Source organism: Homo sapiens, chromosome 12 (genome assembly GCF_000001405.40).
Source record: "Homo sapiens chromosome 12, GRCh38.p14 Primary Assembly".
NCBI classification, from domain to species: Eukaryota; Metazoa; Chordata; class Mammalia; order Primates; family Hominidae; genus Homo; species Homo sapiens.
The window spans coordinates 70,760,003-70,785,195 of record NC_000012.12 but is presented as its reverse complement, the minus strand read 5'-3'; the positions used below and the strand labels follow the sequence as shown (position 1 = coordinate 70,785,195).

The 25,193-nt window shown below is 39.7% G+C and overlaps 1 protein-coding gene and 1 long non-coding RNA gene across 6 annotated transcripts in view; one reads left to right on the top strand and one right to left on the bottom strand.

The window, feature by feature from the left end:
• Positions 1–25,193, top strand: part of PTPRR (protein tyrosine phosphatase receptor type R) — a 282,666-nt gene that overhangs the window by 135,543 nt on the left and 121,930 nt on the right. For all 4 annotated transcript variants that reach the window (XM_011538615.3, NM_002849.4, NM_001207015.2 and 1 more), the window contains 2 exons: positions 20,418–20,531; positions 23,570–23,725. In XM_011538615.3, coding sequence (XP_011536917.1) covers positions 20,418–20,531; positions 23,570–23,725 — 270 coding nt within the window. The remainder of the gene's footprint in view (positions 1–20,417; positions 20,532–23,569; positions 23,726–25,193) is intronic.
• LOC124902960 (uncharacterized) overlaps positions 11,399–25,193 on the bottom strand; it is a 54,602-nt gene continuing 40,807 nt past the window's right edge. For both annotated transcript variants that reach the window (XR_007063361.1, XR_007063362.1), the window contains exon 2: positions 11,399–11,759. This is a non-coding gene — a long non-coding RNA (uncharacterized LOC124902960). The remainder of the gene's footprint in view (positions 11,760–25,193) is intronic.

The following is a 25,193-nucleotide window of genomic DNA, read 5'->3' as shown; positions in this document are numbered from 1 at the left end:
TGAATTTAATTAGATGTCCTTAAAGAGTCTTCTACATGATTTAGGATTTGAGTTGCATGTTCACAGAAGCCATAATGTGAAGGGACAGGATGGAGAGTGAATGGAAGCAGAGATTTTGAATTCAAAAACTGTTCTTAAAATGTGCCGTTTTGACCTTCAACCTCGAATATATATATTCTCTCCAGAAACAAATGATAGCATTTCAGCAAAACCAAATTGTTTTGACCATTGCTTTTTCCTGGGGCCTAGAGTTTTTGATTGACTTTTGGTGAAAGCTCCTTGACAAGTGTAATAATCAGTAACTGTAAACACTGCAAATCCAATCAGGCCACTTTTTAATGTTGATATTATTACTATCCTGGTTACTATGTTCAAGACCTTCATTTCATCAACAAAGCTGTTACTCCACTTCCCCTTGTACTGAATATCCAAAGAAGCAAGTCACTAAACTATTCATTTTCAACATTGATGTGCAGTAAACACGTATCTTTAAGCCTAGTTTACTGTTACTTTTTATCTGCCACTTCTAGCTGTTTTATAGCTAATAGTGATGGCAGCGGCGGCCATCTGGTGCGGCTGCTGCCATCATGCCGGCCGCTGCAGGGAGGGTACTGGGAGGAGGCAGACAGAACCCCCAACAGCAGCCTGCTGCCCTGGGCACCGCCCATTGGAGCGGGGCTAGGTTGTGCTCCGGACAAGGGGGAGCTCTGGCTAGCCCCTGAGCTCCCGGGCCACAGGGGGAGCTCCGGAGAGACAGGGAGAGCTCTCGGCAGCATCGACCCAACCCCGCTACTAGCCCAGGCCCAGCAAGGATCTGGAGCCCCCACCCCAGGCTGCCAGGGGGCATGGCCAGGTGCCTTGCTCCATGGAGCCTGCGGAACTGGGATAAGCGGGAGCCCTGCCCCTTCCAAGTTGGCAGGTGGGAGCTCCCCAGGTGCAACTGCAAGGTGTCCAGGCCACCACTGCAACCTGGGTACCCCTGTGCTCTCCGGAGACAGGAGTAGGCAGAAGCCCCGCCCTCCTGGGCCAGGCTGCAGCTGCCCAAGTCAGGGCTGCGGATCTAGGCCTCCCGCTCCACCGAGCAAGCAGGAACCCTGCTCCCTCTGCCCTCAGCTGCAGCCACCCAAACCGCAGACCCAGGCATCCCTGCATTCTTACCTTTGCAAGCTTGGAGTGCCTGTCTCTGTTGCCGGGCTTCTCCCTACTCCGGGCACCCGCTCTAATCTGGGAGCAGGGTTGGGGCTGAGCCCAGGTTCTGTCACAGCCCCAGCTGTGTGCACAGGCTCAGGGCAGTGCTGACGTGCCAACCCCCGCCCCCCGCCCCCCCCCCCCGTCCCCCCCACACAGCCTTAGACCCTCCAGACTTTGGGTGCCAAAAAGAAGGGAAGCTAAAAGGGGACTAAGGGCAGCTGGGTGCTGAACTGCAGGTGTCTCTTGGTGCCAGCAGCCTGGGCACCATGGATAGCCATGGGAGGCAGACAGGCTCCTGGGCAGAAAAGGGCAGGTCTCCAGTAAAGCCTGGGGTCCGGGGCCGCCAGTCCTGCAGACCCAGAGCAGGAGCTCATGGTGCTTTTTCTTGGGCCCACCCATGGCTGCCCATGAACCAGTCAGCATGCACTTCCCCACCCTCTGAGGCCCATAAAGGCCTCAGCCAGAGCAGACAGAGGGTGAAGAGATGAAGAGGGAGAGGCAACAACCAGCTGCAGACAGGAGCTATCCTCTCTGCTGAAAGTAGGAGGACAGAATGATCAGCTACAGAGAGGAGCTACCCTCTCTGCTGAGAGTTTCAGAGACCTGGGAAGATGGGACTACCAGCTACAGAGAGGAACAATCTTCTCCAGGGCCTCCTCTCTGCTGAGAGCAGTAGATGTCTGCACAACCAGTAGCAGAGAGGAGCTACCCTCTCCAGAGCCTCCTCTCTGCTGAGAGCTGAACACTCCACAGATGACCAGCCTACAGAGAAGAGCTATCAACAGTGGGTCTCCTCTGAGCTGTTCTAACACTTAATAAAGCTCATCTTTGTCTTGTTCACCCTTCACTTGTCTGCATACCTCATTCTTCCTGAATGCAGGACAAGAACTCAGGCAAAGGTGCCACCAGCCACAGAGGTTTCTGGCCGGAAAATCGGACCCCAATGATCCCTTATCAATAGCTCATGTAGGGCCCACATTAAAGACTATGAAAGGGATGCAGTTACCATTCCCATGTGCCAGGTGAAGAAACTGAGCCTCATTTTCTTCAACTGAGAAGAAATTTGACCAAGGCCACTCAACCCAGGTTTGAACCCAAGTCTGCCTTACTAACCCCTATCTTAACTATTATTTGATAATGTGGTAGTTTTTTATTTGTTTATTTTTTTATTATACTTTAAGTTCTAGGGTACATGTTCACAACGTACAGCTTTGTTACATATGTATACATGTGCCATGTTGGTGTGCTGCACCTATTAACTCGTCATTTACATTAGGTGTGTCTCCTAATGCTATCCCTCCCCACTCCCCCCACCCCACAACGGCCCCGGTGTGTGATGTTTCCCTTCCTGTGTCCAAGTGTTCTCATTGTTCAATTCCCACTATGAGTGAGAACATGCGGTGTTTGGTTTTTTGTCCTTGTGATAGTTTGCTGAGAATGATGGTTTCCAGCTTCATCCATGTCCCTACAAAGGACATGAACTCATCCTTTTTTATGGCTGCATAGTATTCCATGGTGTATATGTGCCACATTTTCTTAATCCAGTCTATCATTGATGGACATTTGGCTTGGTTCCAAGTCTTTGCTATTGTGAATAGTGCCACAATAAACATACGTGTGCATGTGTCTTTATAGCAGCATGATATTTAATCCTTTGGGTATATACCCAGTAATGGGATGGCTGGGTCAAATGGTATTTCTAGTTCTAGATCCTTGAGGAATCGAATGTGGCAGTTTTTGATTGGTATTCGCTCACCTACCTGCAACATCTGAACACACAAACACATTTATTTTGTTAAGCTGTGCTCAGGCTCCCTAGCAACTGAGAAAACAGGCAAGCACTTTTAAATGTGTGAACACAAAATTCAAGAAGCTCCTGAATATTGTCCTTGTCTACAAGATCTTACCCTTTTTAAACAAGAAATTTGGGTATCTTTTCTCACTCACTATCAATACCCATTTAGCTCTTTGTTAATTGTTTTAATTAGCTTATCAATTGATCATAACAACAACTGAGCAAGGATATGAAAAACTCATGAAGTTGGTATTGCAACTGTTTATGAAATGTCTCAACATATTCTTACCAATACTGTTAGTATTGTTATTTCATGTGTTAAAAGGAGTAGCTCATCAGTAATGCAGGGAGCTTAAGAAGGAAGAGTAAGTCATCTAAGACACTATTGCTGTAGTATAAAGGTCATAGTTATTTAAAACTATGGGGAAAAAATGAATTCTCTCTGTTTACCATCCTGTCTTTATCCTTTTGTTCTGATCAAAATTGGTCTTCGTGTTCTGCCTATTTCTTCATTATACCTCACTCTTTCACCTCTTAAAAGGGTCAATATACTGACAACATACTAATTTTAGTTTACTAAGACCAAATTGTACCAACCCTTAAAAACTTACTCAATAACGCTTTGGCATAAAAAAGTCTGCAGTTGTACAGAATGCACCTATATGGCTGCACAGGGAACTTGCACTTTTCATGTGAGTTGCAGTGAGGATCACATGCCCTCCCAATGCACCTTGAACCACATTTTGAGAATCAGGACTTGAAGGCTTCCAATTATCTACTCATTAACACATCAAACAGCCTTTTTCTGTTCACATTTTTCTTAACCTCCAGCAGTATCTGGCTCTGTTGAGAAACCTCTTTTGGAACCTCTCTACTCCTGACTTCTTCCATAACACCATTTACCATGATGTTTCTCTGACCTGTCTACAAGCATAGATATCTGTGCTGAAATAAGGCTACCTAACAAGAAAAGTTGTAAAGTTGTCAGCCCATTTTTTTGTCTGACTTTTTGGTGCCATATGTTGGTGTTTTAGTGGACCAAGACATAGCAGCTGTCTCTCCTGCCTGAAAAAGACGTAGGAACTGGGCCTACAGAGATCAAAATGTCAATTATATTGCTGATAGAGCTGCTGCATTTGTGACTTCAAATCACGAAAGTGATATTCTTTTATGACTGCACCTCCTTCAAGCAAATTTTCTCACCAGTCACAGGCAGCAATGGTAAACCACAGCACTCTCCTGCAGGGACAATGCCTTTGGGCTTACTTTACCACTTGCAAAGAACAGACCAGATTATATGGTCTTTACAGGTAGGCAGAATCCTAAAGGAAAGCACAGACCTGCACATGCCCCACTATCTTATTCCAAATGCACCAGTTACACAAGTCACTTTTCCTCTTCTAGGGAGACTGACAAGAGGAAGAATCCAGGAATATTATTATATTAAAACTGCTACCACACAGAATAAAACATCAGGGCTGGGGAATAAAGCATTTCCTCCCAATATCATGTAAAGGGGAAAGCCATAGAAATGTGGTAGTTATAGCATCACATGAAAATGGATAAATATTTGTATGATATGTGTAGGTATATGCATATATATTCATATATGCATATGTACATTATATGATATATATAACCTATGTATCAGGAAAAAAACTAACACTAAAAATACCACAACCTTATCCCAGCGTGATGGGATACATGATTATCCCAAAATAAATAATCCTTATTTCTTTTTTCTAATCATTATATTTTATAAATTTTCTATCATATGCATTAACTATATAATTAGAAAGGTAAATTTTAAAACTCTCAAATTACCAAGAAATGGGCACTAACACTGGATACATTTGAATTTAATTTACAACCAATATAGCATAAAATATATATTGATATTGCCTACTAAAAGTGAGTTTCAGCCAGGTGCAGTGGCTCACGCCTGTAATCCCAGCGCTTTGGGAGGCCAAGGCAGGTGGATCACAAGGTCAAGAGATCAAGACCATCCTGGCCAACATGGTGAAACCCCGTCTCTACTAAAAATACGAAAACTAGCTGGGCATGGTGGCGGGCACCTGCAGTCCCATCTACTCGGGAGGCTGAGGCAGGAGAATCACTTAAACCCAGTAGGCGGAGGTTGCAGTGAGCCAAGATTGCACCACTGCACTTCAGCCTGGCAACAGAGCGAGACTCTGTCTTAAAAAAAAAAAAAGTGAGTTTCAAAAAGTTGATGAGACTAACTTTTGATTTTGCTCCCTCTTAAATGTTATAGTAGTCAAAGTGTCAGAGACATGTTAATTCTAAATAGAATACAAATTATGCTAAATCAATTCTGTGTGTTTTTTAATGATTAGGTATTACAGGTAAACTAAATTGAACATACCTTCCTCAAGCACGAGGCCTGGGTTTGTTACCCTTTCCAAGCCTATCATATAACTCAGATGCTTTCACTTGGTAACTACAGTGTTGGTTATCATGACTCATGTGTTCCTTCATTTTACAAGAATTTATTAAATACCTACTATGTGCCAGGCACTGTTTTGGGTCTTGAGGAGACAGCAGAGAACCAGACTGACATGGACCCGCACCAATGGAGCCCACATTTTGTAAAGTGAGAATATACAATAAACAAGTAAACAAGAAACTGTCAGATAGTGATAAATGCTATGAGGAAAAGAAAGCAGGGTGATCTGATAGAGAGTGGTCAGGCTGGGAAGGCCTCTCTGAGGAAGTGATGTTAAGACCGAGCTGAACAACCAGAAGGAGGCACCACCCAATAATCTTGAACACTTCCCCAGGCAGCAGGCAGGTGCATGCCAAGCCCATAAGGTAAAAATGAGCATAGCTGGCTTGAGGAACTGGAAAAAGGACAGAGTGCCTTGAAAAAGGTCTATGAGATGAAGCTCACAGTTAATAGGAGCCAGATAAAGCAGGGCCTTGAGAGCCCACATGATGGAATTTAACTCTAAACAGGATAGAAAGTTGTTGCAGGATTTTAAGAGAGAAACAGAAGCTGAACTCCTGAAAGAAAAAAAAAAAAAAAGATTTAAAAATGAATGGAGGGTTGGGCAGGGTGGCTCACGCCTGTAAACCCAGCACTTTGGGAGGCTGAGGTGGGCGGATCACCTGAGGTCAGGAGTTCAAGACCAAGTGGCCAACGTGGTTGAAACCCTGTCTCTACTAAAAATACAAAAAAATTAGCTGGGTGTGGTGGTGCATGCCTGTAATCCCAGCTACTTGGGAGGCTGAGGCGGGAGAATCACTTGAACCTGGGAGGTGGAGGTTGCAGTGAGCTGAGATCGTGCCACTGCACTCCAGCCTAGGCAACAAGAGTGAAAACTCTGTCTAAAAAACAAACAAAAACAAAAATGAATGCAAAAGACCAAGAAACTATAAACACAAGTTTTGTGTCATCTCCTGTCTGATGCAATCAAGACAGTCCATGTCTTGTCTACAACAATCACAAAGAATAAATTGACAGAATTCAGAAGTGAAATGATGGCAGTAAAAAAAAACATTAGAGAAATTGAAATCACATTTAAAACAAAAGAAATAGAAAAGATTCTGCTGAAAAAACATAAGGACAGAGTGCAGACCTCAGAGAATTTTAGCTGAATAAAAACATACAAGTGATTAGAGAAAATAAGCACATAAAATAATGTGCTGAGATAGAAAGATGAAGAATATATAGTTGCATAATTAGTGTCTTTGAAGATGAGACCAAAATGTTTAGATGAAAAATCATTCAAATGCATAATAGGAGAAAATATTACTGAAATAGGCTCTGGAATCTGTAGACTATAACGGCATACCACATTACAGGCACTATCAACCCAAAGAAATATCCTGGTGAAGTTTTCTAACTTTAAAGATAAAGACTTCTATGAGATGAGGGGTGGGAAAGGCAAGACAGACTAGCCTCAGGCCACAGTATTTTTCACAGCAACTCTCAATGCCAGAAGGCATTGGAAAATAGCAGCAGAGTTCAAAGAGAAAAAAAAATAGAAATAAAGATTGAATCAGGGGTTTAATATCCAGCCAAGCTGTTATTTATTGTTAAAAGCACCACAAATATATTCACAAACATATAATGCCTCAGGAAATAGAGCACTCATGAGCCTCACTTGAAAGAAGCGATTTGAAATGAAACCCAACTGAAAAACAGATAAATCAAAATATAGAATTCAAGAATGGTGACATCCTTCTAAAAATAAAAGACTGGTCATGAGCATTGAATCCATTTGAATATATAACTATCACTATAGAACTGTAGAAATTATGGTTTCAGCATATATTCATTGGCATAAACAGTGTTAACACATACCCATATCTTAGTGGCTTAACACAATAAAAATTTGTTTTTAACTCATGTCACTATTTAATGTGGGTTTCTGAGTGGGACCCTCTTCTCCACGCAGTGATCTGGGGGCTCAGATGTCTTCCTTTGTGTAGCTCCACCATTTTTAATGCAGTTTTAGGGTGACCCTGGACCCATCCAGCTTGCAGACAGAAGGAAGAAAGAGAGGGTGGAGAAGGCATCCTCATTGTTAACTGCGTAAGACTGAAGGTATCACTTTACTTTTACTTATCTTGATCATGGAGAATTCTGGGTAGTCTCTAATACACAGAATATAATGTCAATAGCATTAGATATAACAATATAGAAATAATAATATAATTACAAAAACTGGGAGGTTATGAGAATTGGTGGGAAGAGTGGCATATTTTCTCATCTTTCATAGCAGAAGTTAATAAATACTTCCTAAATTTTATAAATCAAGAAATAATGGCTTAAATATATTTTCATGCCTTATTTTATGTTATAATATAGACATGGGAAGAAAAAATGTAGAATAACAACTAAAAACAGACAATATAGCAAAAGACAGAAAACCAAGGAAGAATAAAAACAAAAAAACATAAAATAGCAAAGCAATAAAACACATCTAAATCTGTTGAAATAACAGAAGTGAATGGAATAAACTAATCTGTTAAAAATAAGAAATTATAAGAATCAAAGCATGATATTTGATGATGGTATATATTATAAATATAGAACTCTATCTCAGATATATTAGTGAAAAAAGCAAGTTGTGGAACAAAATGTATAGTTCAATCCTATTTGTATTTAATAGTAATATATATTATGTATGATATATACATATTGTTTTATACCATGTACACATAGAAAATATTTGGAAGTATACACAAGATATGGTTAGCAGGATTATTTCTGCGGATTAGGATGAAGGGCTAGGAAGGGGAAGCATATTTTCACTTTTTACCATATATCCATCTGTACCTTAAATTTTGTTGTAATAAGCATGACATTTTTATAAAAATGTAAACAAAAAATCCTAAAGTCCAACACAGTACTACTGGAGAACTGAAAGGAACAACAAAAGAAGGGGGAGAAGTCAGGGAAGGCTGGCAGAATGGTCTTTGCCAACCATGGATCTTGAATTGGAATCTTTAACTCTTCTACCTGGAGTTAAAGATTCCAGGTAGCAAAAAGGCTGAGTCTCCAAGGAGAAGAAAGAGCCCCTAGCACTGATCCCGGTGTGCGCTAACAATGTGAAAAGGACATGGCATGTTTAATAAACCTTAGGGATGCCTGGAGTATGACATGTGTGGTGGAAAGGTGTAAGAGGTTAAGACTGGAAGGACAGGGCAAATTTGGTGAATGGAGGAGTTAAGATCATTCATTAGAAAATGAGATTTTTTCAGAGTATTTTGAACAGAATAGTAGCTTGATTGGGATAGCATTTTACACAGATAACTATGATGTCCATATGGGGAATTAATTAGAGACCACAGAAAACTGGCAACCCATTAGGATTCTAGCCAAATAGTCCAGTTAGTCATGGTGATGATCTGAACTAAAATGATGGAAATATAGATAAAGAAAATATGGGTTCAACATTCAAGGACTATTTAGCAGGTAGAATAGACAGAACTTGACTATTCACTGGATGTCGTGGTGGTGGTGTAAAGAATAAAGAAAGAAGAGTCGGGATGATACCCAAATATGATAGCTCATTCCATTATGTGAATGTAGAAAGAGAAGCAAATTTGATTGTGGATAGGAAGAAGGAGAAAGGTAAGTTCAGTTTGGGTAATGTTGAGTTTGAAGTGTAAGTGGGACATTCAGGAAGAGGGAAGCAGGTGTAAGACCATGAGAAAGGTGGAAATGTGTAATATAGAAATAAAAATAATTAATCTGTAACTAATAGCAGAGGACAAGTGCAGAGAATTGTGAGAAGGGAAGGGGTGAAAGCATAAAATGTCTCTAACAGGTCAGCGTTCTCTACTCAGTTCAAAGGCATAAACAGAGAACCTTTTGCTTTTATTCCTGGAAATCTCTTGCCATTCCAACTCCTTGGCCAAGAATGGAGTTAAAGATTCCAGGTTAAAAAAAAAAGGGTTGGGGGGCACATTTGAGTTAGAAGTGGATGGATTTCTTCTAGCAAGCTTTTGGTCCAAAAGGAAGCTTTGGTCCTTTTGTGGCTGTTGGGAATTGAGACAGCACTTCTCTAAGGAGCCTTGAGGCATCTCTTAGGAAGAAAGATGGACATTTGTCCTTTGCCCACTAACTGGACCACTGGGTGTGGTCCTGACTCTTACTGGGTATGACCAAATGAAAGTCCAGGCTGCCTAATAACTTCAGGAGGGGACTAACTGCCTCCCTGCTAGGCAAAAATAATTCAATTATCCTTTACAAAATAAATAGCTAAAAGCTAATCACATACTTATAATTCAAACATAATGCTGGTACCTGAAAGTGCTACATTTCATCAATCCTATCACCTCAACTTGTACCTAAGGCCCATAGGCTTTAACTACTTTGGTGGACAGTCTGGGAACCAAAGAAAGAAAGTCTTGTCATAAAATATTATTTCCTTTGTGGAGGGGAACAGTAGTGGGGAACTGACAAAGGAATCTAACAAGACAGAGGCCTGGTATATTTAAATATAGGTAGAATTGGAAGACTTTGAATTTTGTATGTTTTTTCTGTATGTTTATATATTTGTAATAACAATAAAAATACTCAATTGTTCTTATGTAGTAACTCTATGAAATTATGTACTGTTGTAAAGTGGCTTACCATTTGCATTTGGAAAGAACATTTTAATCTCTTTGAAATTAAAATGTTAAATCATTTGTATGTTAAATGTTAAAAATGACCAAATGGGTTTAGCATCCAAACAAAAATATATCGCAGAATGTTGTACAGCAACTTGAAAGCTGTTGCCTTGTTACTGCTGTGAAAATTTATATCCTGTCATACTTGTTATGGTTTCACATAATAGGATGAGGAGAGGCTGTGCATTTCTAGCATCTATCCAGACAGAAGGAGGTAGCATATATCTTCTAACTATATAAAGTCATATATTTTTTATTTTGTCTGAAATAAAATTCCCATTTTTATCTAGAATCCTTTCTTTTTCTCAAATTGCACTCATATATAATGCCTGGCATATATTAGGCCTTCAAATACATAGATATCTGTTTGTACTATATTTTAGCATCACTATTTTTATGGGGAAGAGTCAGAAATCTGTGCATGCTCTACAAAATCCAGCTTTTCTCAGACAAGCAGAGAACTGAGGAAAATCATTCAAATGTTTTGATGCAATGAACCAGATGATTTCAATTTCAACTAATTACTTCAACTCACTTCTTCACTATAGTTGGGTAGTCTAAATTTCTGTTTCAAATGTACAGCTTTTGTACAGCTTTCATATTTTTGCAAAGTTGCCTTTTTCAGTGATTTTTAAATCTTTAGTTCCCATTTCACTTCCCATTTACCATTTCAGTCTGAAACTGTAATACTGTTTCCACAGTTACAAGCCTCAAGTTAATCATGCCTCTGGGAATTGAGTTCTGCAGTGTGTACACAACCCCCTTGAGGGGGCTTGTGGGTTCCCAGCATAGACAATTGGCTCCAAATCCTGCCTCTGGGGATTCAGGCACACTGTGTGCCAGCTCACCCTGCCTGACAAACACTGCTGGTGAGACAGAGGTTACTCATTCACCATTTGAGAAAACTAAGGAATCCATCTTTGGCCTTGCAAGGGAAGGGTAGTAGACAGAGTCTCCAATACAGTGTCTCATCTTTAATGGCAGCTTCTGTAGTCTGGCAGAGATGAAAACAGGCCACGGATGAAAGGAAGCCTCTGTTTCTCAGGATGACCAGGTGTACTGAGTTTTTCTAGTCTCCCAGGTATGCCAGGTAGATGCGTATATTGTGCTTAACAGTATAATGCTACTTTCCTGATCACTGCATTTCCAAATCCTACTTGTCCTTTAAGGTTGGCTTCAAGTCTTACTTTCTGCATTAAAACATTCTGTTATATAATGGATGCATATTTAGGCTATTAAAAATACAGAAAATAATGTAGCAAACACTTGTGTACTATTAGATGCTTTTTATTTAATAAAAACATATTACTCTCTAGAAGAAGATAACATTCTGTTAAGAGAGAAGCCACTTTCTTCAGGTCTAGTAGGAATTGCTTTCTGTGACATGCTGAGAAATTAACCTGGAACAGAAAGATCTATTTCAAATTGTGTCTGGATTCATGTACCTCTTTTATTTTTGCCTCACCAAGACTTTACCACTGCCTTTACCCATGATATGCTCCATCTGCCAAGCCACCTCTGGAATAGAATTATGCTTCTAATGGACCTTCCCAGCCTCCCAAACAGCTCTCCAACCAGGAATGAACACCCAGGGAACCAGTTGAACTTCCTACTTGTATTGACTCAGAGCCTAAAAGAAAACAGAAGAAAATGTGCAAAATTACTAAGGTTCTTGGTCAATTCTCTGGCTACAAGTTAGCAGCTTCTTTCCTCAGAATTCTGACTTTCTCCTCGTTAAAGGTGGAATTACATCCCACCTCACCACCACCCCAGAATTCATATGTTGAAGTTCTAGCCTTCCAGTACCTAAGAATGTGACCTTATTTGAAAATAAGGTTGTTGTAGGTGTAACAAAAGTTAACAAGAGGTCTTATTGGAGTAGGGTGGGCTCCTAATCCAATATAAGGAGGCCCTTATAAAAAGGGAAAATTTGGACACAGACACTCAGAGGGAAGACGTGAAGACACAGGGAGGAGAAAGCCAAGTGATGACAGATGCAAAGATTAGAGTAATATATCTGTAATCCAAGGAATCCCAAGGATTGCTGGCAAACACCAGAAGCTAGAAGAAGCAAGGAAGGATTCTCCCCTACAAATTTAAGAGGGAACATGGCCCCACTGACACTTTGATTCAGACTTCCAGCCTCTAGTATGACAAGACAAGAAATTTCTGTTGTTTTAAGCTTAAAAAAAAATAAAGTAAGATAAATTTTAAGAAATTTTAAAGTGTTACTGATTGTGTTTGATATAGCTTTCTATATACTCCAACATCATTCTTATTTCTCCTCCCCAGAAGCAAATTGTTGCCTATTACTGGGCTCTCTTAGGTAGTTTTTTTCAATGATTCTGCCCTTTTCTGGATCTTAATTTTTCACAAGGAGTCCAGTTAACCTAAATTAACCAAATCTTAGGGCCCCTACCTCCATGCAAGCATTGAGAGACCCTAAGGTGGAAATGCAGGCTGGAGCTTTAGCTGGGCCCATCATCTTGACTGGGAACCCTATACCTCTTTTGACTTTCCAAATTCTCTCTGATTCCTATAGCATTGAGCATTTAATCCAGTTTCCAATCACTTATTTATTACCTACTTGCAGGTACAAAATAGAGAATATACTTGCAGGTAAAAAATAGAGGATATATTATGGTATTTCCTTTTGAGACTATAAATCCTTGAAACAGTATTAATCTCTTTTTAAAGCAAGCTGAGGGAAGTTCCCCTAAAGAGTTCCTACTCTATAGGAGATTGCACATGTAAACCAATCTCGTTATTAGAGAAGTGTGTACTCAGAAGTATGCCTAGCTTTACAGAACAGGTGATGTTGCAGCCATTCAATAGTTATTGATAGCCTACTATGTTCAAATTAGTGAATTAAGTATTATAAGAATAAAAGAAATGCATAAAGATTTGGTTTCCCTACCTTGAGTATCTCTCAAATGATTAATGATGCATTTTTGAAAATACATACAGTAAACTACTTCATGGTTTCAGTGTAGTAATCATGCTGGGGCTTCAATGAGGGTTATTATTACTACTATGATAATTATGATATTATCATAATTTGATTTTATTTTAGGAATTCTTTAATATTTAGATTTTTTCCTAAGCAAACCTGAAAGCTGAGTGTTTGCCCAAACAACTGAATAAGAATTGTTTATCTTAGACCAAATCATCAGTACCACTGGCATTTTTACCAGAGTTTGAAAATGTATTCTTGCACCTCATTCTTTTGCCTTGCACTGGCAGCAAATCACTATGTATAGAAACTGCCAAGACAGGCCTTATGGAACTTACACAGCATCTTTCTCTCTGTGACTTGTATGAACACAAATTGAAGATGGATAACTGAAATACACTTGGCCACAGATTCCATTCTGTCATCTGGAACTAAACTAAAGCAAAATTATTCAAGGCACATTTCAATGAAATTCTTTATGAATTGACCATTAATTTGTGCTTTTTATTATAACTAGACAAATTGCTTTATTATATAATATACCATCTTTTTAAAAAATCAACTTTTATTTTAGATTCAGGGGGTACATGTGCAGGTTTGCGACATGGGAACACTGGATCATAACACTGAGATTTAGAGTGCAGATGATCCCATCACCCAGGCAGTGAGCACAGCACACATTAAGCAGTCCCTCACCCCCTTCCCTCCCTCTCTCCTCTAGCAGTCTCCAGTGTCCATTGCTCTCATCTTTATGTCCATGGGTACTCAATGTTCAGCTCCCACTTATAAGTGAGAACATGCAGTATATGGTTTCCTGTTCCTGCATTACTTTGCTTGGGATAATGGTCTGGCTGCAACCATGTGCTGCAAAGAACATAATTTCATTTTTTATGGCTGCATAATGTTCCATGGTGTATATAATACATCTTTTTATTTTTATTTTTTTTTAATTTATTATTATTATACTTTAAGTTTTAGGGTACATGTGCACAATGTGCAGGTTAGTTACATATGTATACATGTGCCATGCTGGTGTGCTGCACCCGTTGACTCGTCATTTAGCATTAGGTATATCTCCTAAAACTATACCTCCCCCCTCCCCCCACCCCACAACAGTCCCCAGAGTGTGATGTTCCCCTTCCTGTGTTCATGAGTTCTCATTGTTCAATTCCCACCTATGAGTGAGAATATGCGGTGTTTGGTTTTTTGTTCTTGTGATAGTTTACTGAGAATGATGATTTCCAATTTCATCCATGTCCCTACAAAGGACATGAACTCATCATTTTTTATGGCTGCATAGTATTCCGTGGTGTATATGTGCCACATTTTCTTAATCCAGTCTATCATTGTTGGACATTTGGGTGGTTCCAAGTCTTTGCTATTGTGAATTGTGCCGCAATAAACCTATGTGTGCATGTGTCTTTATAGCAGCATGATTTATAGTCCTTTGGGTATATACCCAGTAATGGGATGGCTGGGTCAAATGGTATTTCTAGTTCTAGATCCCTGAGGAATCACTGACTTCCACAATGGTTGAACTAGTTTACAGTCCCACCAACAGTATAAAAGTGTTCCTATTTCTCCACATCCTCTCCAGCACCTGTTGTTTCCTGACTTTTTAATGATTGCCATTCTAACTGGTGTGAGATGGTATCTCATTGTGGTTATGATTTGCATTTCTCTGATGGCCAGTGATGGTGAGCATTTTTTCATGTGTCTTTTGGCTGCATAAATGTCTTCTTTCGAGAAGTGTCTGTTCATATCCTTTGCCCACTTTTTGATGGGGTTGTTTGTTTTTTTCTTGTAAATTTCTTTGAGTTCATTGTAGATTCTGGATATTAGCCCTTTGTCAGATGAGTAGGTTGCGAAAATTTTCTCCCATTTTGTAGGTTGCCTGTTCACTCTGATGGTAGTTTCTTTTGCTGTGCAGAAGCTCTTTAGTTTAATTAGATCCCATTTGTCAATTTTGTCTTTTGTTGCCATTGCTTTTGGTGTTTTAGACATGAAGTCCTTGCCCATGCCTATGTCCTGAATGGTAATGCCTAGGTTTTCTTCTAGGGTTTTTATGGTTTTAGGTCTAATGTTTAAGTCTTTATTCCATCTTGAATTAATTTTTGTATAAGGTGTAAGGAAGGGATCCAGTTTCAGCTTTCTACATATGGCTAGCCAGTTTTCCCAGCACCATTTATTAAATAGGGAATCTTTCCCCATTGCTTGTTTTTGTCAGGTTTGTCAAAGATCAGATAGTTGTAGATATGCGGCGTTATTTCTGAGGTCTCTGTTCTGTTCCATTGATCTATATCTCTGTTTTGGTACCAGTACCATGCTGTTTTGTTTACTGTAGCCTTGTAGTATAGTTTGAAGTGAGGTAGCATGATGCCTCCAGCTTTGTTCTTTTGGCTTAGGATTGACTTGGTGATGCGGGCTCTTTTTTGGTTCCATATGAACTTTAAAGTAGTTTTTTCCAATTCTGTGAAGAAAGTCATTGGTAGCTTGATGGGGATGGCATTGAATCTATAAATTACCTTGGGCAGTTGGCCATTTTCATGATATTGATTCTTCCTACCCATGAGCATGGAATGTTCTTCCATTTGTTTGTATCCTCTTTTATTTCATTGAGCAGTGGTTTGTAGTTCTCCTTGAAGAAGTCCTTCACGTCCCTTGTAAGTTGGATTCCTAAGTATTTTATATTCTTTGAAGCAATTGTGAATGGGAGTTCACTCATGATTTGGCTCTCTGTTTGTCTGTTATTGGTGTATAAGAATGCTTGTGATTTTTGTACATTGATTTTGTATCCTGAGACTTTGCTGAAGTTGCTTATCAGCTTAAGGAGATTTTGGGCTGAGACAATGGGGTTTTCTAGATATACAATCACGTCGTCTGCAAACAGGGACAATTTGACTTCCTCTTTTCCTAATTGAATACCCTTTATTTCCTTCTCCTGCCTAATTGCCCTGGCCAGAACTTCCAACACTATGTTGAATAGGAGTGGTGAGAGAGGGCATCCCTGTCTTGTGCCAGTTTTCAAAGGGAATGCTTCCAGTTTTTGCCCATTCAGTATGATATTGGCTGTGGGTTTGTCATAGATACCTCTTATTATTTTGAGATATGTCCCATCAATACCTAATTCATTGAGAGTTTTTAGCATGAAGGGTTGTTGAATTTTGTCAAAGGCTTTTTCTGCATCTGTTGAGATAATCATGTGGTTTTTGTCTTTGGCTCTGTTTATATGCTGGATTACATTTATTGATTTGCATATATTGAACCAGCCTTGCATCCCAGGGATGAAGCCCACTTGATCATGGTGGATAAGCTTTTTGATGTGCTGCTGGATTCGGTTTGCCCGTATTTTATTGAGGATTTTTGCATCAATGTTCATCAAGGATATTGGTCTAAAATTCTCTTTTTTTGTTGTATCTCTGCCCGGCTTTGGTATCAGGATGATGCTGGCCTCATAAAATGAGTTAGGGAGGATTCCCTCTTTTTCTATTGATTGGAATAGTTTCAGAAGGAATGGTACCAGTTCCTCCTTGTACCTCTGTTAGAATTCAGCTATGAATCCATCTGGTCCTGGACTCTTTTTGGTTGGTAAGTTATTGATTATTGCCACAATTTCAGATCCTATTTTTGGTCTATTCAGAGATTCAACTTCTTCCTGGTTTAGTCTTGGGAAAGTGCATGTGTCAAGGAATTTATCCATTTCTTCTAGATTTTCTAGTTTATTTGCGTAGAGGTGTTTGTAGTATTCTCTGATGGTAGTTTGTATTTCTGTGGGATCGATGGTGATATCCCCTTTATCATTTTTTATTGCGTCTATTTGATTCTTCTCTTGCTTTATTAGTCTTGCTAGCAGTCTATCAATTTTGTTGATCCTTTCAAAAAACCAGCTCCTGGATTCATTAATTTTTTGAAGGGTTTTTTGTGTCTCTATTTCCTTCAGTTCTGCTCTGATTTTAGTTATTTCTTGCCTTCTGCTAGCTTTTGAATGTGTTTGCTGTTGCTTTTCTAGTTCTTTTAATTGTGATGTTAGGGTGTCAGTTTTGGATCTTTCCTGCTTTCTCTTGTGGGCATTTAGTGCTATAAATTTCCCTCTACACACTGCTTTGAATGTGTCCCAGAGATTCTGGTATGTTGTGTCTTTGTTCTCATTGGTTTCAAAGAACATCTTTATTTCTGCCTTCATTTCGTTATGTACCCAGTAGTCATTCAGGAGCAGGTTGTTCATTTTCCATGTAGTTGAGTGGTTTTGAGTGAGTTTCTTAATCCTGAGTTCTACTTTGATTGCACTGTGGTCTGAGAGACAATTGTTACAATTTCTGTTCTTTTACATTTGCTGAGGAGAGCTTTACTTCCAAGTATGTGGTCAATTTTGGAACAGGTGTGGTGTGGTGCTGAAAAAAATGTATATTCTGTTGATTTGGGATGGAGAATTCTGTAGATGTCTATTAGGTCTGCTTGGTGCAGAGCTGAATTCAATTCCTGGGTATCCTTGTTAACTTTCTATCTCGTTGATCTGTCTAATGTTGACAGTGGGGTGTTAACGTCTCCCATTATTATTGTGTAGGAGTCTAAGTCTCTTTGTAGGTCACTCAGGACTGGCTTTATGAATCTGGGTGCTCCTGTATTGGGTGCATATATATTTAGGATAGTTAGCTCTTCTTGTTGAATTGATCCCTTTACCATTATGTAATGGCCGCCTTTGTCTCTTTTGATCTTTGTTGGTTTAAAGTCTGTTTTATCAGAGACTAGGATTGCAACCCCTGTAATTTTTTGTTTTCCATTTTCTTGGTAGATCTTCCTCCATCCCTTTATTTTGAGCCTATGTGTGTCTCTGCACATGAGATGGGTTTCCTGAATACAGCACACTGATGGGTCTTGACTCTTTATCCAATTTGCCAGTCTGTGTCTTTTAACTGGAGCATTTAGTCCATTTACATTTAAAGTTAATATTGTTATGTGTGAATTTGATCCTGTCATTATGATGTTAGCTGATTATTTTGCTCATTAGTTGATGTAGTTTCTTCCTAGTCTCGATGGTCTTTACATTTTGGCGTGATTTTGCAGTGGCTGGTACCGGTTGTTCCTTTCCATGTTTAGCGCTTCCTTCAGAAGTTCTTTTAGGGCAGGCCTGGTGGTGACAAAATCTCTCAGCATTTGCTTGTCTGTAAAGTATTTTATTTCTCCTTCACTTATGAAGCTTAGCTTGGCTGGATATAAAATTCCGGGTTGAAAATTCTTTTCTTTAAGAATGTTGAATATTGGCCCCCACTCTCTTCTGGCTTGTAGAGTTTCTGTTGAGAGATCCGCTGTTAGTCTGATGGGCTTCCCGTTGTGGGTAACCCGACCTTTCTCTCTGGCTGCCCTTAACATTTTTTCCTTCTTTTCAACTTTGGTGAATCTGACAATTATGTGTCTTGGAGTTGCTCTTCTCGAGGAGTATCTTTGTGGCATTCTCTGTATTTCCTGAATCTGAATGCTGGCCTGCCTTGCTAGATTGGGGAAGTTCTCCTGGATAATATCCTGCAGAGTGTTTTCCAACTTGGTTCCATTCTCCCCGTCACGTTCAAGTACACCAATCAGACGTAGATTTGGTCTTTTCACATAGTCCCATATTTCTTGGAGGCTTTGTTCACTTCTTTTTATTCTTTTTTCTCTAAACTTCCCTTCTCGCTTAATTTCATTCATTTCATCTTCCATCACTGATACCCTTTCTTCCAGTTGATTGCATCAGCTCCTGAGGCTTCTGCATTCTTCACGTAGTTCTCAAGCCTTGGCTTTCAGCTCCATCAGCTCCTTTAAGCACTTCTCTGTATTGGTTATTCTAGTTATACATTTGTCTAAATTTTTTTCAAAGTTTTCAACTTCTTTGCCTTTGGTTTGAATTTCCTCCTGTAGCTCGGAGTAGTTTCATTGTCTGAAGCCTTCTTCTCTCAACTCGTCAAAGTCATTCTCTGTCCAGCTTTGTTCCGTTGCTGGTGAGGAGCTGTGTTCCTTTGGAGGAGGAGAGGCGCTCTGCTTTTTAGAGTTTCCAGTTTTTCTGCTCTGTTTTTTCCCCATCTTTGTGGTTTTATCTACTTTTGGTCTTTGATGATGGTGATGTGCACATGGGTTTTTGGTGTGGATGTCCTTTCTGTTTGTTAGTTTTCCTTCTAACAGACAGGACCCTCAGCTGCAGGTCTGTTGGAGTTTTCTAGAGGTCTACTCCAGACCCTGTTTTCTTGGGTAATAGCAGCGGTGGCTGCAGAACACCAGATGTTTGTGAACTGCGAATGCTGCTGTCTGATCGTTCCTCTTGAAGTTTTGTCTCAGAGGAGTACCCGGCTGTGTGAGGTGTCAGTCTGCCCCTTCTGGGGGGGTGCCTCCCAGTTAGCCTGCTCAGGGGTCAGGGGTCAGGGACCCACTTGAGGAGGCAGTCTACCCGTTCTCAGATCTCCAGCTGCATGCTGGGAGAACCACTGCTCTCTTCAAAGCTCTCAGACAGGGACATTTAAGTCTGCAGAGGTTACTGCTGTCTTTTTGTTTGTCTGTGCCCTGCCCCCAGAGGTGGAGCCTACAGAGGCAGGCAGGCCTCCTTGAGCTGTGGTGGGCTCCACCCAGTTGGAGCTTCCCGGCTGCTTTGTTTACCTAAGTGAGCCTGGGCAATGGCGGGCACCCCTCCCCCAGCCTCACTGCTGCCTTGCAGTTTGATCTCAGACTGCTGTGCTAGCAATCAGCAAGACTCCATGGGCATAGGACCCTCCAAGCCAGGTGAGGGATATAATCTCCTGGTGTGCCATTTTTTAAGCCCGTCGGAAAAGCGCAGTATTGGGGTGGGAGTGACCCGATTTTCCAGGTGCCGTCTGTCACCCCTTTCTTTGAATAGGAAAGGGAACTCCCTGAGCCCTTGCACTTCCCGAGTGAGGCAATGCCTCACCCTGCTTCGGCTCGTGCACGGTGCACTGCACCCACTGTCCTGCGCCCACTGTCTGGCACTCCCTAGTGAGATGAACCTGGTACCTCAGATGGAAATGCAGAAATCACCCATCTTCTGCATCACTCACACTGGGAGCTGTAGACTGGAGCTGTTCCTATTTGGCCATCTTGGCTCCACCCCTATAATACATCTTTTTAACTAATACCATTTAAAATTTCACATGCAATGTTCCTATAATTTTATTTCTATCAAAAATGCAATAAAGCATTATTAGTGTAAACTTAGCAGAGTCACAGAAACTGTGGTCAGTCATGAGTCAAGAACTGAATGTCGTGAACTTATTAATACTTATTTGGATGTATTCTATACATCTATACAAATTAATACTATAATTTGGATTTATTTTTGTCCTTATTTTCTAGACACTGCAAATGGATGTAAACAAGCTGAACATAACCTTGCTTCGGATCTTCCGCCAAGGAGTGGCTGCAGCTTTAGGACTCTTACCCCAGCAAGTGCACATCAATCGCCTCATTGTAAGATACCCACATTTCGCATTTCCAAAATTCAAGCCGTGTGTGTGGTTTTTTTAATCACTAAAGGGCTCATGCTATAGTTGTATGGCTAATGAGCCAAATCCGGCACGTCATGTTTTTGCAAATAAAATTTTATGAAACAAGCTATATCTGCTCATCTACCCATTGCCCATGATGCCTTTTGTATTACAGTGGCAGAGTTCAGTAGTTGCAAAAGATTGGCTCATGAAGCCTAAACTGTTTATCATCTGGCCCTTTATAGAGGAAGTTTGTTAACTCTGTCATAGTTCAAGTCTAGGTCCTGTGGTAAATATGAAAGAGCCCAAAACACTTGCCTTACCAACCTGACACTACTCCGAAAATATTCTCCATTAGAGTGAAAGCTTCTATATCAGGTAAGGCAGTTTCCAGACATTATTGATATACTTTCAAGTATATCAGGTGAGGCAGTTTCCAGACATTATTGATATACTTTCAAGTATATCAGTAGAACAATGGACATTGAGTGCACAAGGCAGGGCATTTTAAATAAAGAATAAAGAACTGACCCTGAGGACTGCAGCCCAGGTGGAATGCAGGAATTGGTAGTCCAGGAAAACCAAGAGAAAACTTGAATGGGCATCTGAGTGGGTAAAGTAAAAAAAAAAAAAAAAAAAGTAAACCCAAAGGATCTGTTGTATAGGGCCCAGTCTAGGCCTATATGTCAATCACCCACATCCATTATTTCCTCTCTTTCCTCGGTGTTTGGGAACCTGGATTTCATGCAACTACATGTTCCCATCTGCACTGGAAAGTGGGCGTGAGCAAAGGCCAAAAAAAAAGTAAATTCAGATCAGATGACTGTCTTTCTGTAAAAAGCTAGTCACCTCAGTTTTATGTGAAAAGGAACTTTGGGATCACTGTACAGGTTTTAAATTGCTCTTAATGTCCACTGCAATGGGAGTCTAAGCAAGGACTCCATGTTCCCCCAGCCTTAAATTGCTGTGCTTCTGCTGCATGGAGCTCAGCTTTCTATTGCACCCATCTGCATTCACTATGGAGGGAATTTGCTTTTTGTTTTGGTTTGGGGTTTATGTTTCTTTTTATTTTTTCTGTGTGTAGAGAGTGAGTTGTTTCATTTCTTCATAAAAATTTGTATTCTGTGAATCAACAATGTTCTAGAAGTAAACAAGCTGTTAAAAAGTTTTAACTCATACCACAGAAGAAGAAATACAACATTCCCCTGAATGAGTGAAGGTTACCCGGTGGCTCACGCCTGTAATCCCAGAACTTTGGGAGGCCAGGAGGGTGGATAACTGGAGGTCAGGAGTTTGAGACCAGCCTGGCCAACATGGTAAAACCCCATCTCTACTACTTAAAATACAAAAAATTGGCCGGGCATGGTGGCAGGCATCTGTAATCCCAGCTACTCAGGAGGCTGAGGCAGGAGAATCACTTGAACCCAGGAGGTGGAAGTTGCAGTGAGCAGAGATCACTCCATGGCACTCCAGCCTGGACAACAAGAGCGAAACTCCATCTCAAAAAAAAAGAAAAAAAGTCTTGGATCTAGATCTAGATTTTTTATATATATACAATATATACATATAAAAATATATATGCATCAACCTGTGCATATATATTTTGCTAAGATATATAGAGAGATGATATAGATATCTTAGATATACTTTTATACATATTAGGTTTAATGAGCATAATAGCTGTTTGCAAGGGTGAAGGAGGGATTTGCCAGACTGAGGAAGGAATATGCTTATCATATCCTCAGAGAATGTTAGTAGCATGGTTCAAAGTAGTTATTATAATAGCTAGAGTTACAATACCTGACATAGCAAAGCATGTTGATTAGCATCATGTGTTTTGGAGACAGACAAAACCATACTTCATTTCCAGTGTGGCCATATTCCATGTATGTGAATGTGGGCAAGCCTCTTACGTTTTATTTGTAAAATAGAGATAACCATAATACCTATCGCTTAGCGGTGTTTTGAGCAATAAATGAGATAAAAGATTTAAGGTAAATAGCATGTTAGGCACAACACAAGTGCTCTGTACCTACAGTAGTTGTTATTGGGTCACAAACTATTTAAATTGTTATAAACATGTTTCACATCAGTATTTAGTTATTGTCTGTTGTTCTCTGCAAACATGAAAAAACTTTTACTGGCTTGCTAGTAGTAAACTGATACTTCATTTTATACCAGCTAAAATTCTGATAAAGCACATTAAAAGAAAACTTTCTAGCATGAGAGCTCTCCATGTGTCAGAAAGAAAGCTAAGAATAATTTCCTTCTATTAGTGTGTTGTGTAAGTTGTGAAAGATAATATTATCAATCGCCATGGTTTTGTCTGCTCTCTGTGTGTGTGTGTGTGTGTATGTGTGTGTAGGATATCAGACATTTATGGTAAGAAATTCTCTGACTCCATTTCAGCTAATGAGGTAATACTAATAGGAAAAGTCTCATGACATCACTACATAAGATATGCATTTCCACCAAATGACCAATTTTAAATGTGTGACATATTTGACGTGAAGAACAGTATCAGGAAAAGGACTTCAAAGATCATCTGGCACCATCTTCTTTAGCTAGCCAAGCCTTCACATTAACACAAGTTATAAAAATAATAGAGAGAGTGGTGATGTCTAATATGTAATTTTGTAATTTTACTATTACTTTGGACTTTAATTCATTTGATTTTAAAATGCTTCTTTAAACATAATTACTCAGGGAACATCTGAACAATCTACATCAAAAAATTACAATATGGAATGGTAAATGAATCAGCATGCAAGCATGCACTGAAATATAAAATTACAAATCTTGGGGGGTGGCAACTAATGGCAAGAAAGCTATTTGAAGATTTTAGACTTTGGACTGGTAACATTAAGTCTATCAGAGAATAACTAATAAATATAATCTCCACAAAGCCTTTTAGGATTCTAGAATTCTGACTTCCTTTAATGTTTCTAAAGGACAGGTAAAAATATTATCCAAAGTTGTTTAAAATGTCTATAACAAATACAAATATTCTGCTTTTATTAGGGAAAGAAGAACAGTATTGAACTGTTTGTGTCTCCCATAAACCGAAAAACAGGAATTTCTGATGCTCTGCCCTCTGAGGAAGTTCTTCGTTCACTTAATATCAATGTTTTGCATCAAAGTTTATCCCAGTTTGGAATTACAGAAGTCTCTCCTGAGGTATGTTGTTGCACGAAACAATTCATTTAAAAATGTGAACAGTTAGCATGCTATGGTAATTCAACCCCAAGAGGCTTTGAGATGGAAGTTGTTTATTGTATGTTATTTGATAATAAAAATTTCCCTGAGTGTCAGAATTCTCTGATCTTTACATTGTATATGTTTACTTCTTAAGGAAATGCACTTTCACATTAAGGTTTTCACTTTTTGGCATTTTTCTTCTTCAAACCTTTGTGGCCTTATAACTTATTTTGACTTATCCAGTAAATTTTCTAGAAGAAAGAAGATTTAGATGTATTTTGTCAATTGATCGCTTGAAACTGATATGTCAAATAAACAAAAATACATTTAAACCTTTCTTTCTCTACAGGTGCACCCCTCCCCTCATTGTCGTCATTGTCAAAATGGTCACCAGATATTCGCCTTTTCCCATAACTTTGAAATTAATTTGAAATGTGATTTTTCTTTTTCTGAAGAAACTATAGTTTTTTAAAGAACTTAAGTCTTAAGAACTATAGATGTTTCTTCATAGTATTTTCCAAATTTGTCGCTTTTAAAAAATTTCCTCTACCACCTCCACCATCTCACTCCTGAATGGATTTAATTTCCTTTCCAATTCTATTACTCCATCCCGCTCTAACAAACCTACTGAAAGGATCATCATCCTAAATACGTGTAATTCAATTCATGGAATCATGAAATTAAACTGGAGGGAATATGTGTAACACCTTGTAGATACAGAAAGTATGGCCCATAGAAATTAAGTGACTCCCTCAAGGTGACAGAACAAGAGAGGCGTAAAGCACCACCTAAGATCTAGGTGTCTTTTTTTTCTCTCTTATAGAGGCAGGGTTTTACTATGTTGCCCAGGCTGGTCTTGAATGCCTGGCCTCAAGCAATTCTCCCACCTTGGCCTCCAAAAGTGCTGGGATTACAGATGTGAGTGAGCCATCTTCCCTGTCCAAAATCTAGATGTCCTGATCCCTGGTCTATTCACCTTTACAGTAAATCACACTGCCTCTCATTTTAGTATCACAGGTGTGGTATAAAAAGCTCTGGGTGGGCATGGTGGCTTATGTTTGTAATCCTAACTACTGGGGAGGCTGAGGCAGCAGGATCACTTGCACCCAGATGGAGTTTGTATCCCAAAGCCACACGTAAAATGTGTGTGACCATGGGCAGGCCATTTAATCTCTGTGAGGTTGTCTGCCTTTGCATGGTATCAACCTCCCTGAGCCTTAGTTTCTTCAAATCCAAAATGGGTATAGCACTTATAAACTTGAAATATGGATTGAATTTTTAAAGTATATGCAGAAATTCTCACACAGCCTAGGTAGCAGACAAATGTAATTTGAATGCAGGATGACTTGGCACAATGAGAATATATGTCATCATTGAACCATCACTGTCACAACCACCCCCAACTGGTCTTCCTGCATTTGGTTTTGCGCCTCTCTCTGTTCTGTTT